General features: G+C 40.3%; 1 protein-coding gene and 1 long non-coding RNA gene across 8 annotated transcripts in view, besides 4 other annotated features; one reads left to right on the top strand and one right to left on the bottom strand.

Annotated features, from left to right (window-relative positions):
• ZNF184 (zinc finger protein 184) overlaps positions 1-13,404 on the bottom strand; it is a 69,100-nt gene extending 55,696 nt beyond the window's left edge. For 4 of the 7 annotated variants that reach the window (NR_144688.2, NR_144687.2, NM_007149.3 and 1 more), the window contains exons 1-3: positions 13,272-13,404; positions 12,587-12,732; positions 8,152-8,219 (exon numbers count right to left, since the gene is read on the bottom strand). Coding sequence is in view for 3 of the 7 variants with exons in the window: in NM_007149.3 (NP_009080.2) it covers positions 8,152-8,219; positions 12,587-12,593 (75 nt within the window). In the remaining 4 variants the exon portion in view is untranslated. Of the gene's footprint in view, positions 1-8,151; positions 8,220-12,586; positions 12,733-12,959 lie in introns of all 7 variants that reach the window. The other 3 variants (NM_001318891.2, NM_001318893.2, NM_001318892.2) reach the window with 2 other exon arrangements.
• Positions 12,526-12,655: an enhancer, noted in NCBI's record as "active region_24283". NCBI's record gives its function as "activates an Ori minimal core promoter by ATAC-STARR-seq in GM12878 lymphoblastoid cells {active_cell/tissue: GM12878}" and the evidence as "EXISTENCE:reporter gene assay evidence [ECO:0000049][PMID:35858748]".
• Positions 12,986-13,075: an enhancer, noted in NCBI's record as "active region_24284". NCBI's record gives its function as "activates an Ori minimal core promoter by ATAC-STARR-seq in GM12878 lymphoblastoid cells {active_cell/tissue: GM12878}" and the evidence as "EXISTENCE:reporter gene assay evidence [ECO:0000049][PMID:35858748]".
• Positions 13,096-13,195: an enhancer, noted in NCBI's record as "active region_24285". NCBI's record gives its function as "activates an Ori minimal core promoter by ATAC-STARR-seq in GM12878 lymphoblastoid cells {active_cell/tissue: GM12878}" and the evidence as "EXISTENCE:reporter gene assay evidence [ECO:0000049][PMID:35858748]".
• Positions 13,256-13,415: an enhancer, noted in NCBI's record as "active region_24286". NCBI's record gives its function as "activates an Ori minimal core promoter by ATAC-STARR-seq in GM12878 lymphoblastoid cells {active_cell/tissue: GM12878}" and the evidence as "EXISTENCE:reporter gene assay evidence [ECO:0000049][PMID:35858748]".
• Positions 13,423-16,279, top strand: LOC105375001 (uncharacterized). Its single transcript, XR_926664.4, has 2 exons — positions 13,423-13,608; positions 15,393-16,279. It is a non-coding gene; the product is annotated as an uncharacterized LOC105375001 (long non-coding RNA).

The raw sequence follows: 17,973 nt of genomic DNA on the forward strand, positions 1-17,973 counted from the left end.
ATATGTACAATTGCCATTTCAACATCATTTGTGTGGAAGGAAAAAAAATCAAACTTACATGCCCATTAATAGGATAGTGGTTAAAAAATATATAGTACACCCATACTAAAACACTTTATATAGATAGTTATCAAATGATGTATATCTATACGTACTCATTAGAAAATATGTACACAAGAGGACAGGCATGGTGGCTCACACCTGCAATCTCAACACTGTGGGAGGCCAAGGTGGGAGGACTGCTTGAGCCCAAGAGTTCAAGACCAGCCTGCGCAACACAGTGAGACCTCATCGGCACTAAAGATAAAAATAGAAATAAGCTGGGCGTGGTGGCACGCACCTGTAGTCCCAGCTCCTCAGGAAGCTGAGGTGGGAGGATTGCTTCCACCCAGAAGTTCGAGGTTGCAGTGACCTATGATCATACCACTGAACTCTAGGGTATAATCCTACTTTTCTTTTTATGAATAGGAAGAACGTTTATATGTAAATGAACAGAAAAAAATCTAAAAGAATACTCAACCAAATACTATTGGTGGGACTGGGTAGTGGGACCTATAGGCAATGCAGGCAACTTCCTGCTTTTTTTATTGCTATGTATTTAAAACTAAGTGAGAGAGCAATAACTTTGTTTAAAAACTATAAATATATTAAATCATTAGGACTTTTCCCTCTAACCATGACAAAGCAACTGGACTAGCTCTTCCAATATAAATAAAACTGAACAATATATCTGAAACAAGTGTTTTCATATTTTGAACAGCAGGCAGGACAGAAGTGATACGGAGAGAAGGGAAACACTAACATGAGCCCCAGAATCCCCTTAACTTTTTGCCTGAGGCACTGTCCAGACTGCAGAGCAGGGAGGCAGAGCTCTACCAAAGCAGTGGTCTTACTGAGCTGAGGAGACAAAGTTGAAAGTTCAGAACTACTGAGGCAGGGAATTTGCAGGATAGATACTGGAGAGGAGGGAGCTGCAGAGAAAAGGAATACCACAAATCTGGTGTAAATACAATCTCCATGGGCAATGCAAAGTTACCAACATGACATAACTGAATAGAGTTGAGAAGTTATGTGCACAGTCGGCCCCCACAAACAGTTCCAGGACACTTTAGGAGCAGGGCAAGTCTAGACTGTGAAGAAAGAATATAAGCAGCAGGTCTGGTTGGCTCATTCCTTGCTAAATTCCAGGGATGCCTAGATCCTTGGTTCTGATCCTTGAACAAGTTCTGAAAACTAAACCTTTGAACATTTCCATGGTCACTAATTATCGACATAATTCTGTGTGCCTAGTCACTGATTAATGACGTTATTCTGTGTGCCCAGTGCACTGGGACAAGATGTACCAAACTGTCAACATCGTTTAAAGAAACACGGAAATTTATGAGTGTACCAGGTGCCGAGTGTGGGGTCTAAACTATAGCTGGTCATATGGCAGGTAAAGGCCAATGTGATCAGCAACCTTTATGAATTCGGACTCCAAGACTCAAGCAGGATTCCCTGGGTAGACATTCTTCATGTTTCTGTGGCTCACAGTAACAGAGAAAGTGTATCTGTATAATCATCACAGAGGGAGGACTCAGAAGCCTGTACCTGATTTCTCTGGACTCTGATTATGAATACCCTTTTCCTTCTGATCCTCTTTTGTATGCTTTGCTGTAATATTTGTTAGCCATGATTTATGCTACTGAGTCATATGAATCATTCCAACAAATCACTGAACTAAAGCGTGGTCATGGGTCCCTGAAACACAGCCCTAGAGTAAGGCTACACTAGATCAGCCCTAACAATGCTTACAGTTTAAAATACAAATGTCAATAGAATCAAGCTGTGGCCAAGATGGAATTAACAATAATTGGATTTACTCTCCTACATGAAATAAACAATACATTCCAGACAAAATGAAACAAAAGTCTCCATCACACTGAACCTCAGGTAGCAAAGAAAAGTGATCCCTGAGAATCAGGAAACAAATGAGGTGAGCCCTACAATTGCTCTAGCTTACTGCCTTGAGAGTTTCCAAACACTGGTGTAGGGAGGTGGAACCTAGGAGGAGCCCAGCAGATTTCTGGAACTCAAGAGATAGAGCTGAGAGTTTGGGAAAATCAAGGTGACTAGAGTTCACAAGACACAGTACTGGAGCGGAGAGAGCTACACAAAGAGAGAAGCAAGGAAAACTGCAGAGGTTCCCTCTTGAGTATTCAGAAAAGTACCAATCTGTGCATGGGTGTGATGAGACTATCTGAGGCCAGTGAAAGAATCACCTAAAGGAGTCAAGGGACCAGAACCAGCACTCAAAAAGGGTTAGAAATACATTAGCCAAAATGGAAAACTTCATAATTCATGAGGCATTGGGTAGAATACTCAATGGTCCTGCCTCTATGGTCAGGAATAAATAGGCTGAGACTAAATGCTGTTCTGGGCCCACTTAACAAATCTTAAAAGGCCTGAAAGGAACACACTGTTTCCAGTAACTTAACTGCATCCCAGAATAAGGTTCAAGAATTTTTTTTTTTTGAGGCGGAGTTTCTCTCTGTTGCGCAGCCTGGAGTGCAGTGGCGTGATCTCGGCTCACTGCAAGCTCTACCTCCCAGGTTCACGCCATTCTGCTGCCTCAGCCTCCCGAGTATCTGGGACCGCAGGTGCCCGCCACCACACCCGGCTAATTTTTTTGTATTTTTAGTAGAGACGGGGTTTCACTGTGTTAGCCAGAATGATCTCGATCTGCTGACCTCGTGATCCACCCGCCTTGGCCTCCCAAAGTGCTGGGATTACGGGTGTGAGCCACTGCGCCTGGCCAAGAATATTTTATATGAATATAAAAATATTCAGAACCCAATAAGGTAAAATTCAGTGTGTGGCATCCAATCAAAGACTATCAGGCAGCTGGGCACAGTGGCTCACACCTGTAATCCCAGCACTTTGGGAGGCCTAGGCAGGCAGATCATGAGGTCAGGAGTTTGAGACCAGCCTGACCAACATGGCAAAACGCTGTCTCTACTAAAAGTGCAAAAAAATTAGCCAGTCATGGTGGTGAGCGCCTGTAATCCCAGCTACTCAGGAGGCTGAGGCAGGAGAACCGCTTGAACCCAGGAGGCAGAGGTTGCAGTGAGCTGAGATTGTGCCACTGCACTCCAGCCTGGGCGACAGAGTGAGACTCTGTCTCAAAAAAAAAAAAAAATTATCAGGCAATGCAGAGAAGCAGGAAAATATAACCCATAATAAAGAGAAAAGTCAATCAACTGAAACCAACCCAGAAGAGACGTTAGAGTTAACAGACAAGAACATCAAAAGTTTTTATGACTGTATTCCATATGTTCAAAATGTTCAAAACGTTAGGCAGAGATATGAAAGACATTTAAAAAAAAAAAAAAAGAGAGAACACATGGACACAGGAAGGGGAACATCACACTCCGGGGACTGTTGTGGGGTGGGGGGAGGGGGGAGGGACAGCATTAGGGGATATACCTAATGCTAAATGACGAGTTAATGGGTGCAGCACACCAACATGGCACATGTATACATATGTAACAAACCTGCACATTGTGCACATGTACCCTAAAACTTAAAGTATAATAATAATAAAGAAAAAAAAAAAACTAAATGGAACTTCTTAGAGCTGAAAATGAGAATGTTTTGAGATTTAAAAAAATTCACCAGTTAGTATTAACAGAAGAGTAAGCTTTGAAGAAGAGAGATTAGTAACTTCAAAGACACAGAAATCAAAGCTATTCAAAATAAAAGAAAAAAATAATTTTAAAAAAAGAGCCTTGGGGAGCTCTAGGAGAACTTTAAGTTGCCTGCTTTATGTGTGATTGGAGTACTGGGGCAGGAGGCGAAAGATGAGAGGGGACCAGAAATCATTTTTGAGGAAATAACAGCTGATTATTTTCCAAACTTGATTTTAACCACAAAAAAATTGCACCAAAATACATCATAATCAAATAGTTTAAACTCAGTGATAGAAAAAAATCTTACAAGTAATCTGAGGAAAAAAGACACACAAATATAAAAAAACAAAGATAAAAACAACAGTAACTTTTTTGTTAGAAACAATGGACACTGGAGCAATATCAAATACTGAAAAGAAGAAATCTGTCACACTAGAATTAATAAACAAAGGCAAAATAAAGACTTCTTTAGACATAGAAACCTGAAAGTATTATTCACAGCAGACCTACACTACAAGAAATGTTAAAGGAAGTCCTTCGACCAGATTAAAAAAAAAAAAAACCAGATGAAAATATGGTTCGACACCAGGGTTTCTCAACCTTGGCGCTATTGATATTTTGGACCAGATGATTCTCTTAGAAAAGTGTGGGGGCCTGTCCTGTGTATGGAGACATCACTCGTCTCAACCCACTGGATGCTAATAGCACTCCCTACCAAGTCATGACAATCAAAAAAGTTCCCTAACACTCTCAAATGTTGCTCCTTGGGGAGCAAAATCACTCACGATTGTGAACTACTGATTTATAAAAATGAATAAAGAATACCGAAAATGATCATTACACAATGAGCATTGTAATAATTATACACAATTATTTTCTTATTACTTAAATCTCTTTCAAAGATAATTGGCTGCTTAAAGAAAATAACAACAAAGTATTATGGGATTTATAACATATGTAACAAGTAAAATGTATGGCAACAATAGCATAAAAACTGTGGTGGGGGGAATGGAAATACACTATTCTAAGTAAAATGGAATATCACTTGAAAGTAAATGGTGATTAAAACAAATATGAATCCCTAAAGCAACAAGTAAAATAGCAAAGAGTTATGGCTAATAAGCTAATGAAGGAGATAAAATAGAATCATAAGCATATTCAATCCAAAAGAAGGTAAGAATAGAAGGAAAAAAAGAAAAAAGACAATACAAATAGAAAACAAACAGCAAGGTAAAAGACTTATCCATATCAAAAGTCACATTATATTTAAATGTAACACATTACATGTAAGATCATACTGAATACAAATGGTCTAAACACCCCAAGAAGCAGAGATTTCCAGATTGGATAAAAAAAGCAAAACCCGGCCGGGCACAGTGGTTCATGCCTGTAATCCCAGCACTTTGGGAGGCCAAGGTGGGCGGATCACGAGGTCAGGAGATCGAGACCATCCTGGCTAACATGGTGAAACCCCGTCTCTACTAAAAATACAAAAAAATTAGCTGGGCTTGGTGGCGAGCGCCAGTAGTCCTAGCTACTGGAGAGGCTGAGGCAGGATAATGGCGTGAACCCAGGAGGCGGAGCTTGCAGTGAGCCGAGATCGCCCCACTGCACTCCAGGCTGGGCGACAGAGCAAGACTCTGTCTCAAAAAAAAAAAAAAAAAAAAATAGAGCTTCTATCATGTGAGGACATGAGGAGGTGGCACCATCTACGAACCAGACACAGAATCTACAGGCACTTTGATCTTGAACTTCTCAGCTTACAAAACTGTGAGAAATAAAGTTCTGTTATTTAAAAAAAAAAGAAAAGAAAAGAAAAGAAAAGAAAAACCCGGCAGGGCGCGGTGGCTCATGCCTGTAATCCCAGCACTTCGGGAGGGCGAGGCGGGCGGATCACGAAGTCAGGAGATCGAGACCATCCTGGCTAACACAGGGAAACCCTGTCTCGACTAAAAATACAAAAAAATTAGCCAGGCATGGTGGCAGGTGCCTGTAGTCCTAGCTACTCGGGAGGCTGAGGCAGGAGAATGGCATGAACCTGGGAGGCGGAGCTTGCAGTGAGCTGAGATCGCGCCACTGCACTCCAGGCTGGGCAACAGAAAGAGACTCCATCTCAAAAAAAAAAAAAAAAAAAAAAAAAGCAAAACCCAACTACATGTTGCTTGTAAGTAACTCACTTTAAATATAAAGATACAAATAAGTTAAAAGCAAAAATATATAAAAATATATACCATATGTCAAAGTAAATTTCAAGGCAAAAGATACTACCAGGCATTAAAAACACTGTTTCTCAACGATAAAGGAGTCAACTGATTAAGAGAACATAACAATCCTAAATGTTTATGCACCTAATAACAGCGCTTCAAAATATATTTGCGAAAATTGGTAAAACAGCAAGGAGAAACAGACCAACCCACAACAGTCTGAGATTTCAATACCCCTTTCAGAATAACTGATAAAACAAGCAGACAGGAAATCAGTAAGGATATAAAAGACTTGAACACTATCAACTAAGTTGACCAAACTGATATCTGTGGTATACAGAACAAAGCCCTCCCAAAGATGTCCATGTCCCAACCCTGAAACCTGTGAATTTGTTACCTAACATGGCAAAAGAGACTTTACAAATGTGATCAGATTAAGGGCCTTGAGTGGGGAAATTATTCTGTATTACATAGGTGAGCCTAGAGTAATCACAAGGGTCTTTATAAGAGGGAGGTAAGCATATCAGAGTAGGAGACAGAAAGACAGAAGACAAGTCAGAGTCAGAGGGAGAGAGAGAGAGAGAGAGAGAGAGAGAGATAAATTTGAAGATGCCACAGTACTAGCTTTGAAGATAGAATAAGTAGACAAAGAACACAGCAGCCTCTAGAAGCTGGAAAAGGCAAGGAATAGATTCTTCCCCTAGAACCTTCAGAAGAATGCTGTCCTGACAACCTATTTTGGACTTTTGACTTCTAACACTGTGAGTAAATTGTGTTATTTTACGCCATCTAAGCTTATGGCAATTAATTATAGCAGCAATAGAAAACTAATACATCTATAGAACATTCTATAAAACAATAGCAAAACATACATTCTTTTCAAGTGCTCACTGATAGTTTACCAAGATGTACCACATTCTGGACAAAAAAACAAGTCTCCATAAATTTGAAAGGATTCAAGTCACACAAGGTATGTTCTCTGATTATGGATATTTTCACTCTCTTGCTTGTGGTAATGGTTTCATGAATGTATACATGACAAAACTTATCAAATTATATATTTTTAAATATGTGCAGTTTACTGTCACAGTATACCCCCCAATTAAAAAAAAAAATACCAAAAGTACTTCGGCTGAAAGTGGGAAGAACTGGTACCATTTCTTTGTTAAGAAAATTCAGTTATGGAACACGAATTAAGCAGGGGGGAAATTTTAAGAAGGAGGAGGGCTTGAGGTTGATTATGGCTGGTGAGCAATTGTTACCTTTTTTGTCTAAGTTCTCAATCAGTCCAGGTCACTTTTCTTCCATTAAAAATCATTAATGGTTCATAAATGGCCTACACAATAAAGCCTTCAACTTCTCATCCAGGTATTCAAGGCTTTCATATTCTGACTTCATTCAATCATTTGTGTACCACTTGCCATAATCCATCTCTTCCAAATTTTTCTGAATCCTGTGTAACATCTGTTAATCCTTACTTATGAACTTCTGCTTATAATCTTCTCTATACCTAGAATCCATACCTCCAGCCCCACCACCTTACTTGTTCAAATATCGAAATGTCACCTATTGTTTTAGAGGCATCCCAAGTCCCCCATCCTCCATGAAACTCTCCTAATCCCTCCAGACCACATACATTTTTCCATTCTCTAATATCCACATTACTCATTTCACCTTTCTTACATTTACCTGTTTTATTTTCTAGCAGTCATTTTGGCCTATTAAAGGATCAAGTTTTGGGGCCTGGCGTGGTGGCTCACACCTGCAATCCCAGCACTTTGGGAGGCCAAAGTGGATGGATCATGAGGTCAGGAGTTTGAGACCAGCATCACCAGCATGATGAAACCCCGTCTCTACTAAAAATACAAAAAATTAGCCAGGCGTGGTAGTGTGGGCCTGTAGTCCCAGCTACTCGGGACGCTCAGGCAGGAGAATTGCTTGAACCCGGCAGGCGGAGGTTGCAGTGAGCGGAGATCACCACCATTGCACTCCAGCCTGGGCGACAGAGGGAGACTCAATCTCAAAAAAAAAGGATCCAGTTTTGTACTTCTTTTGCTCTCCCATCCCTGGAGCATAGCAAGATACTAAGCAAGTGGTAAGTGGTGAATGTATTAGTTAAAGCTGGAGAGGCACAGCTAGGAATGCGGTTACTAGACAGATGAGAGCCCAGAATGAACTGCCAACATTGATTTTTGGATAAATAGAAAAAACAAAACAAAACAAAAAACCACAATCACCCTCTAAAGAATAAAATGGCATTTCAAGAAACCACATCTTACCTGAAAACTGGCTGATGAGAGTAGATTATGTCCCCCTTGGAGAAGGGTGGAGTCTGGAGAGGACAGATCTAGGGGGAGAAGCAGGAGCCATATGACTTCTGTTCAATTTAGCCATTCCCAGCAATCCATAAATTCCATTTACTCTTCTATTTGAAAATAACAGAAACTATGCCATTTCCTTTATATTTTAGAATGCAAAAAAAGTTACAAGATAACTGGGGCCCTGGTACCCTCCTCAGTAGGCTCAGGAGGTAAAGCATTGCTTTATGATTCAGTTTTGTACCTAGACACTTAGAAGTCATATGTATTATATGACTCAATCTATGTTCCTCATTAAATGAGGCAAACTATTTCTGCTGGCCTTTCTCTGCTACATATAAAATATGAAGAAGTAATCCGATTACTTTCCAAAAGCCTTCATAGGCCCTTTGAAAACTTTGCTATTAATGCAAATTAAATATCACAATGACATATGCTACTTACTCTACCCACCCAACAGAATGTCTTAAATTAAACAGACATGGTCAATACTAATTGCTGGCAAGAATATAAAGCAATTAGAACTTTTTAGATTGGTATATGGTATAAATTTATCAACCACTTATGAAAACTGGTAGTTTATACTAAGCTAAACATATGACTATCCTATGACTCAGCAATTCCACTCCTGTCCTTACATCCATAGAAATGCTTATATCCACCAAAGACTTCTACAAGGATCTTCACTGCAGATTTATTCATAATATCTCAGAACTAGAAACAACCCAAATGCCTTTCAACAGAACACAGCATAAACAACCATGGTATTTTCATACAATGGATTATTCCAAAATATAAGAAAGAGCTACTAACATAATTAACAACATGGATGCATCTCTTAAACATAATGTTGAGCAAAACAAGCAAAACAAAATAATGCATACTGTATGACTATATTTATATTAACTTTAAAAACCAACCAAACTGATCTACAGTAATGAAAGTTAGAATAGTACTTCTGGAGGGATAACTGACTGGGCAGAGGCACAAGATACTTCTGGGGCATTAGAAACATTCCATATCTTGGTTATACTAGTTTATACATACATGAAAATTTGAAAAGCTATATATTGTACAGTATTTGTGCACTTTACTGTATATAACTTATACCTTAATAAACAAAACAAAAAAAAGCTTTGCTCTTGGGGGAATCCACTTAGAGTACTGGTTGACAGGAAAGCCTGATTCTCAAAATGACTCGTCTGGTAATTAATTATGTATAATTATGCAAGTCCCTTGTCTTCTTTAGGCTTCAATTTCCTCATCTTTAAAAGACTAGAGGCGAATGTCTGACAAACATACCTTTCAAAATCCTCTTGAAGAGGAGATAGTGGTGAGGAAAACCAAACTAGGCACACCTGTTTCCACAAAGAAGTAAGACAAGAAGAATTTTCTCCTCTTAGAAATTTAATGTATGCAGAAAGACTAGTGAGGGAAGATGTCTCTGGATACAAAATATGAATGAGACTGGCTGGGCAGAGTGGCTCATGCCTGTAATCCCAGCACTTTGGGAGGCTGAGGCGGGCGGATCACAAGGTCAGGAGTTAGAGACCAGCCTGACCAACATGGTGAAACCCCATCTCTACTAAAAATACAAAAATTAACCAGGCGTGGTGGCGTGTGCCTGTAATCCCAGCTACTCAGAAGGCTGAGGCAGGAGAACTGCTTGAACCCGGGAGAGGGAGGTTGCAGTGAGCCGAAATTATGCCACTGCACTCCAGCCTGGGCGACAGAGCAAGACAGTGTCTCAAAAACAAAAAAAAAAAATTTGAATGAGACATGAGGTATGAAATAGACTAGCAATGCTGTAAGAGATGCTTGGTAAAAACTAAGAAAAAACAATCAAACAGGTAAGGGTCAAGATGGATATTTATGACCACACATAGATGTGTGAGATAGTGGCAATAAGCCAAGTGAATGTACACCTGAAAAAAAGAAGGGAAACTCAATATTTTAGGCATTAACCAAGGCTTGTTGGGTTGGAAGACATAAGACCTTAAAACTATAAAAAAAAATCAACTAAGGGACTAAATATAAAGACAGTGGGGAACATGAAGAATAAAAAGAAAAGCTAAACAATCAAATGGACAGAACCCAAGGGAATCTAAATTGCACCACTAAGGTGCAAGGGCAATCTCTTTGGGATACCACCATTAGGGTAGGTCAGTGCCATCTAATTTTAGTTCCAAGATTCAAATTCCAGAGACAGCTAACTGGCCTAGTGTGGGTTTTATGACCAAGCCTTGTTTAAAAGAGAGCTGGGTAAAATTTACGCAAAATGATCTGATATAAACAGACAGACTAAGAGATGGATTATTGTATGTGATGCAATAATCCTGAGTGTGAAACCTGATAGAAATTGTAGATAAATCGAAAGAAAGAAAGAAAAAAAAAAACAAAAGTAGCACCATGCTGGCAACAGTGTGCCATAGACAGCTTAGGCAGGTGGGGGTGATGAATAATATGGAGAAAAGCAGTTTCAACTGTTTGGCTAAGTATGTAAGTTTCATTTTGTAAAAAATGTATTAATCAAGAAATTCTTAATTTATATTAATGGTGTCATGCCTCAGAAAGTAGAGGAAGCAATAAAGGGAACTATTATGCTCAACTTGATCTTGACCAGTAAAGAAAAACTGTTTTGTAACAGAAGTCTTAAGAAAAAAATGAAGATATTATCTTGGAAGCTCTTAACAGTGAAAGAAAATGTTCTAAATGCACAGACAGGTACCTAAGACTTTAGGAAAACAGAATCAAGAGAAATGTCTCAGGTAAGATGCTTTTTATTCCAAATAACAGCAACCAACAGAACCAAAAACAGCAACAGTTACAGAAACCAACTGTGTGCTTGGCACATAGTAAATGCTCAGTATGTGCTACAAAAGTTATGATTACAAGGAACAGAGGCTCAGTAAAGTTAATCCTAATGATAAAATTGTGAGAAATCCACAAAATAAAGAAAATACAAAGGCTTTTAATGAAACTACTTTGGCTGATTTAATTCTGAGAAACTTAGAATATATATATAAAAAAATCCACTGTAAAAAAGACTTGAAGTACAAAAAATTGAAGAAAAGTATGGACCAAACCTACATTATTCACATGACTAATATGAATAATGTTAAGACTTCTAATGATATTATCTTTAACAAAGGCAAAAAAAGGACTGCATGATAATAGTTAGGTCAAACCAAACTTGATTGCACAGCCATACCTAAAGAATGTAAAGACAACACCAATGCAGAGAGAACTCCATAGGGACATGTCATAAGCCTCTATCCTTACCCTGATCTGTTCAATGACAGGTAGGAAGAAATAGAAGGAATATTCATCAAATCCGCTAGTGGCATTAAGTTAGAAAGGACAGTTAAGGCACTGAATAACTAAATTAGGATTCATAATCATTCTGAAAGCCTAAAACATGTGACCAAAAAATTGAACAGTCATAAATGTAAGTCATGACATTAAGGATAATAATAATTCCATTACACAAAAATGGTGTAAATCTAGATCACTGCAGTTTATGTAAAAAAGATCTAAAGTTTACAGTACATCACTGATAGTTTTTAAAGCAAATGTGATCTAATGCCAAACAGCGGAAGTATAATCCGAGTCAAAGGAAGTAGTACATTATCCTCTCAGGTACTTTTCAAAGCACATCCAAAGAGCTATGTTTACCATTAGGCACTGCATTTTAAGAAAAATGCTGACAAGCAGGAGAGTTTTCAGAGAAAGGTCTAGATACATCACATAGACCAATCAAAAGAAGTGAGGCTATATTGCTTAGAAAAGAATTTATGAGGAGGAGTTGTAACAGCTGAATTCACATATCTTAAGGGCAGCAGTGTGAAAGAAAGAACAGACAGTTTCCTTTTCTTTGGAGGACTAAGAACTAAGATCAACACAAAAGTTACAGGGACAAGTACATCTGTTTAATATAAGAAACTAAAAAAGAAAGCCAACAAGGGAATAGTCTGCACCCAAAATGGCGAGTTTAATGCCACACTAGTTCGGGCATAGGGTTGACAGACAGCCGTCTGCCAAGGAGATTTCAAAACTGACTCTTTCATTGAAGGGATAATTGCCAAGATGTCTTCTGACTTCAAGATTATAATTTTAATATTTAATATTCAGAAGTCATGTGGGGATCACAGATATTCTGAATGATTATGTCTTTTCATTCCCCAATGGAACGAAAGAAAAAAATAAACTCCTCTCCCAAGTATCTCTCTATAAAACAGAATCTCTCCCTACAATGTAATTCGGTTTCTTTGCTAATCCCTAAGCATACCGTTCCTTCCTTCCAAATCTCCTGCTCTGATCTCAAGTATTTGATACTCCAGTCATGACTGTTCTCAAGCCTCCATCACCCCGCTCTCCCCCAAGTCGACCCCACTACCTTCCATCTCAGGAGCTCATCCCGTTCCTCTGGAACTTGAACACCAGGGTTCGCCAGGCAGCGTTCCTTCAGCTGGTATCTCGGTCTAGGACTCAGATGTCTAACTCCCCTTGCAGGGAATCTGCAACACGCTGAGGTTGTCTACCCTAAAAGACACAGGATGGCGTCAGCAGCATACGTCACACAATCACACATCAGAGTCTTGCAAAGTGACCAAGAGGTGCTACACAAGAGAAGTGCCCCAAGAGAGCACTAGAGAGGTGTGTGGCACTCCGATGAACAAAACAGAGTGGAGATCGGGTACGCGGGTTCTGCTTCAGATCCAAAAAACCCTTGGTGCCCACCCTAGAATCTGGCCGGGGCATCCACAGACCTGGTGTGTTCCCTCTGTGCACACTTGTGACTCACACCCCTGCGAGCTCGGATAACACGAAGACACACCTGTTGCAGAGCGTTAAAGCTGGAAGGTGGACAAACAGGGCGGGGCCCGGCACCCGACTTCCCCTTAGGCCAGAACAAAAGAACAAAGCCCTCCAAGGGATCAGGGCGGGACCGCCCCGCACAGAAGGAGGCGAGGTGCGCCCCCTTCGAGGACTCCCCAGCTTTCTCCTGCAGAGGCCTCTAAGCGCGAAATCAGAAGGGTGACGTCACGAGTCCGGAGGGCTGGCTGTTGCCATGGTGATACCTGAGCTCCCCTCCCCCTATAGCGATCCACACACTCTGATCCCGGGTCCGGAAGCGCATTGACCGCCACCAGACCTAACGCAGGGAGCCGAAGCAACTGGACTTCCAGCGCGCCAACCTCTTTCCACGCCTACAACCGGCTTCAACGGTCACTTCCGGTCGTTACGAGCGAGCCCCGCCCCGCACGCCGGCGCCGGGCGGGCACACTGGACCAGCGTTCCCAGAACACTCCGCGAAGGTGTTCCTGAACTTCATTTCCCAGAGGCTTTAGCTAACGTGTACTTTCGCCCTGCGATGGGCCGCACATTTTCGCCGCCAGTCTTTTGCTCCTGTTTCAGGTATGCGTGTGCATTGTAAACTTGTCTGACTGAACTGATTATAAGAAATGCACGTCTACTGACCGAGCGCAGTGGCTCACGTCTGTAATCTGAGCACTTTGGGAGGCCGAGGTGGGTGGATCACTAGGTCAGGAGTTCGAGACTCAGCCTGGCCAATATGGTGACACCCCGTCTCTACTAAAAATACAAAAATTAGCCGGGCGTGGTGGCGCGCGCCTGTAGCTACTCAGGAGGCAGAGGCAGAAGAATCGCTTGAACCCGGGAGGAAGAGGTTGCAGTCAGCCGAGATCGCGCCACTGCACTCCAGCCTGGGCGGCAGAGCGAGACTCCGTCTCAAAAAAACAAAACAACAAAAAAAAAAAAAAGAAAGAAAGAAAAGAAAAAAAAGAAATACACGTCTACACACAGTTTTAAAACGCAAACAATCGTTACCTTTATTACATGTTCTACCTTCTATTTTCTGTTCTACTCTTTTGTCGTTTTGAAAATACTGGTAGTTACCCATTAAAATTGTTTTCACGACTCTCAAATGAGTGGCGACCAACTTTTTTTTTTTTTTTTTTTTTTTTGAGACGGAATCTAGCTCTGTTGCTCAGGCTGGAGTGCAATGGCGCGATCTCGGCTCGCTGCAACCTCCACCTCCCGGGTTCAAGCGATTCTCCTGCCTCAGCCTCCCGAGTAGCTGGGATTACAGGCATGCACCACCATCCCCGGCTAATTTTTGTATTTTTAGTAGAGACGAGGGGGTCACCATGTTGGCCAGGCTGGTCTCGAACTCCTGACCTCAAGTGATCCGCCCGCCTCGGCCTCCCAAAGTGCTGGGATTGCAGGCGTGAGCCACTGCGCCCGGCCCCAACATGTTTTTCTAATGCTTAAGGAAACCCGGAGATAATATTCCCATGTTTTGCCACTTAGTAAAGCATTTTATATGCCTGTGTCAGCGAGCACATAGCTGCAAGTGTAGCCCATGGCCAGTCTGTCACTGTGTCCTTGGCAGAAAAAAAGAATCCAACAAATCGGTAGGTTTTTATATTTAAGACATGGCACTTGCATTTTATTATGCTGGCGTGCATCCCCAGCATTTGGATAAGGGGCCAAGGTCAAGTCTCTCAGACTGTTGGCTGACAAACATTAAACCTGGAAATCCTAACAGAGTGTATGAAAAACAATTACAGTCAAGGGAACATGATAGAGAAAGCTTCGGTCATCTTAGAGAATGCATATATTGCCATGAAGAGAACATTGGTTTAAAAAAAAATGTTCAAGAGAATGAAAAGACAAGTCACAGACTGGGAGAAAATACTTGCAAAGTACATATCTGATAAAGAACTGATATCCAAAATATATAAGAACTCTTAAAACTCAACAATAAGGAGACAAACCGATTAAAAAAATAGGCCAAAGACCCTAACAGATGTCACCAAAGAAGATATGCAGATGGAAAATAAGCATATGAAAAGATGCTCCACATATGTCCTCAGTGAAATGCAAATTAAAACAATGGGATGCCACTATACACCTGTCAAAATGGCCAAAATCCAGAACCCTGACAATACCAAATGCTGACAAGGATGTGGAGCACAGGAACTTTCATTCATTGCTGGTGGGAATGCAAAATATTAGAGTTACGTTGGAGGACAGTTTGACAATTTCTTACAAAACTAAACATACTCTTACCATATGATCTAGTAATTGTGTTCCTTGGTATTTATGCAAAGGAGTTGAAAATGTATGTCCACACAAAACGTGCCCAAGAATGTTTATAGCAGCTTTGTTCATGATAGGCAAAACTTGGAAGCAGCCAGATGTCCTTCAGTACATGAATGAATACATAAACTATGGTACATTCAGACAATGGAACATTCAGTAAGGAAAAGAAATGAGCTATCAAGCTACCAAAAAGGAAGAACAGAAGAATATTAAGTGCGTATTGGTGAGTGAAAGAAGTCAATCTGGAAAAGGCTATATACTGTATAATTCCATCTACATAACATTCCTGAAAAGGCTAATCTATGGAAACAGCAAAGATTGGTGGTTGCCAGGGGCTTAGGGGGAGGGAAAAAGGGAAGAATAAGTGACATTCAGTGGATTTTAAGAGGGAAGAATAAGTGACGTTCAGTGGATTTTAAGAGGGAAGAATAAGTGACGTTCAGTGGATTTTTAAGGCAGTGAAACTATTCTGTATGATATTGTAATGGCGAATACATGTTGTTATACATTTGTTAAAACCCATAGAATATACAGCACAAAGAGTGAACCGTAATATAAACTATGGTCTTTAGTTAATAATAATTTATCAACATTGGCTCATCAATTTTAACAGATGTACCACACTAGTGCAAGATGTTAATAATAGAGAAACTGGGGGAGGAGGGGAGAAGGAAGGAGTATACTGAAACTCTACTTTCTGCTCAATTTTTCTATAAACCTAAAACTGTTCCCAAAATGTTCTATTAAATTTAAAATATAAGAATGTTAAATATGCTTATGGTAAGGTCTCAGAAGGAAATTAATGACATGCAATTAGAAACTGAAGGAATGGTTATCTTGTTATAAAGTGGGAGAGCCTTGGCTGAATTGTATTCTATATTTGGGTGGAAAACAGAATTTGTACATGATGAACTTGAATATTTAGTTAAGAAGACTTCCAAGTAAAATGTGGAATGTGCAACCTGGTTAGTTATTGCTGCTTATGGTGAAATGCATGAGGAAAGAAATAAACTGAGGAAGGAACTATTCAGCACAAAGGAACCAGCACTCATGATTTGGAAAACTTTTAGCCATACCTTATACAAATGAGGCTTTCAATACATGTTGAGGACACAGAAAGATATAATTTTTGTCTTCAGTGACTTCTCTATATGTTGCACAAAGTGGCCTCCAACTCCTGACCTCAAGCAATCCTCCCACCTCGGCCTTCCTAAATGCTGGGGTTACAGTCCATAAGCCACTGAACCCAGCCCTCAGAAACCTTTTGTGCTTAAAAAAACACCTCAGCAAAATACAAAGCAACTAGTGATATATTTGAACTGAAATTACTAATCAACTTTGGCTTGTTTTACTGTAACAATGACTAGGGACTGGCCACAGCTGCAATCTTACTTGTTTTACTGGGCTGAAAACAAAAACATAGTAGAATGGATCTCAGTAAAGGTAGAGAGTCAGGACTTAGTTGCAGGAAACAAAAACCAGTCCAGTTTCTACTTTAGCCCTAAATTGGAAACAAATCAAATGTCCTTCTATACTTAAAAAGGCAAATTGTCAGTTTTTCTTCAAATACAAGGAATACAAAGAAAATACATTTTTTTTCTACAAAGAAAAAAAAGTTAGCTAGGAGTGGTGGTGCATGCTTCTATTCCTAGCTACTCTGGAGGCTGAGGCAGAAGGATGGCTTGTGCCCAAGAGTTCAGGTTACAGTAAGCTATGATGGTGCCACTGCACTCCAGTCTGTGTGATAGAGTAAGACCCTGATTCTAAAATTTTTTTAAATTTCTTAAAAGAGATTTGATATTTCTTTGGTATCTAACTTTATTCAAAGCTGGAGTTGCAAATGATTTCAGCAAAAAAAAATAAAGATGTGCTTGATAAAAATATGTCCACCAAATAAAAAGGATGTGATATGCATTAACTATGAACAACAATCTATAGCACAACTTATATTTGTATGGACACCTGGCTACCCCATCAAACTGCTTCATGTCTATTCCCTCAAATTATGGTCTTCCATAAAACTAGTGAATTTCTTTTAGTCTTCTTTTGAGCCTGTAGGGGTGAGAGAATCTTTTTTCTCCCTTCTGGAGGTTGGATATTTGAGTCTGAGAAATAAAGCTGCTAGTAGACAGATTAACAGAAGAAAAGGCATACACATTTATTATGCACATATGCACAGAGGTCCCAGAAAGTGTAAGTGAGACTCAAAGAAGGGGCAGATGGTTGAAGCTTAAATAGGACTTGGAGCTACATAAAGAAATAGGAGCTTGAAGGCTCCTGGAAGGTGGTGGCGAGAAGCAATGTGAGGGTCAGGGCAGGAACAGCTCTGGGAACAAAGCTTGTCTTATTATACAGATAAAGTCTCTCAAGTAGCAGCCCTCAGAATAGGTGGTGAAGAAAAGAATTGAAGTCTGGCTGGGCGAGATGTCCCGGGCATGGAGACCTTTAGTTTTCTCTCCTGGGATCTGAGTTAATCTTCTCTGGTTAATACAGATTCCAGGAGAGGGTTCATGACAATCTCTTTCCTTCTGGAGGAACCTCCGTAAGTCAAATAAGGGAAACTTCAGTGAAAGCCCCTCCCTGCCATTCAAGAAAGAAAGAGGATCAGGAGGCAGTGGGGCTGCGGAAGGTCAGAGAGACTTTGATTCTGAGGTT

The sequence above is a fragment of the Homo sapiens genome, chromosome 6, assembly GCF_000001405.40.
Source record: "Homo sapiens chromosome 6, GRCh38.p14 Primary Assembly".
Taxonomy (NCBI): Eukaryota; Metazoa; Chordata; class Mammalia; order Primates; family Hominidae; genus Homo; species Homo sapiens.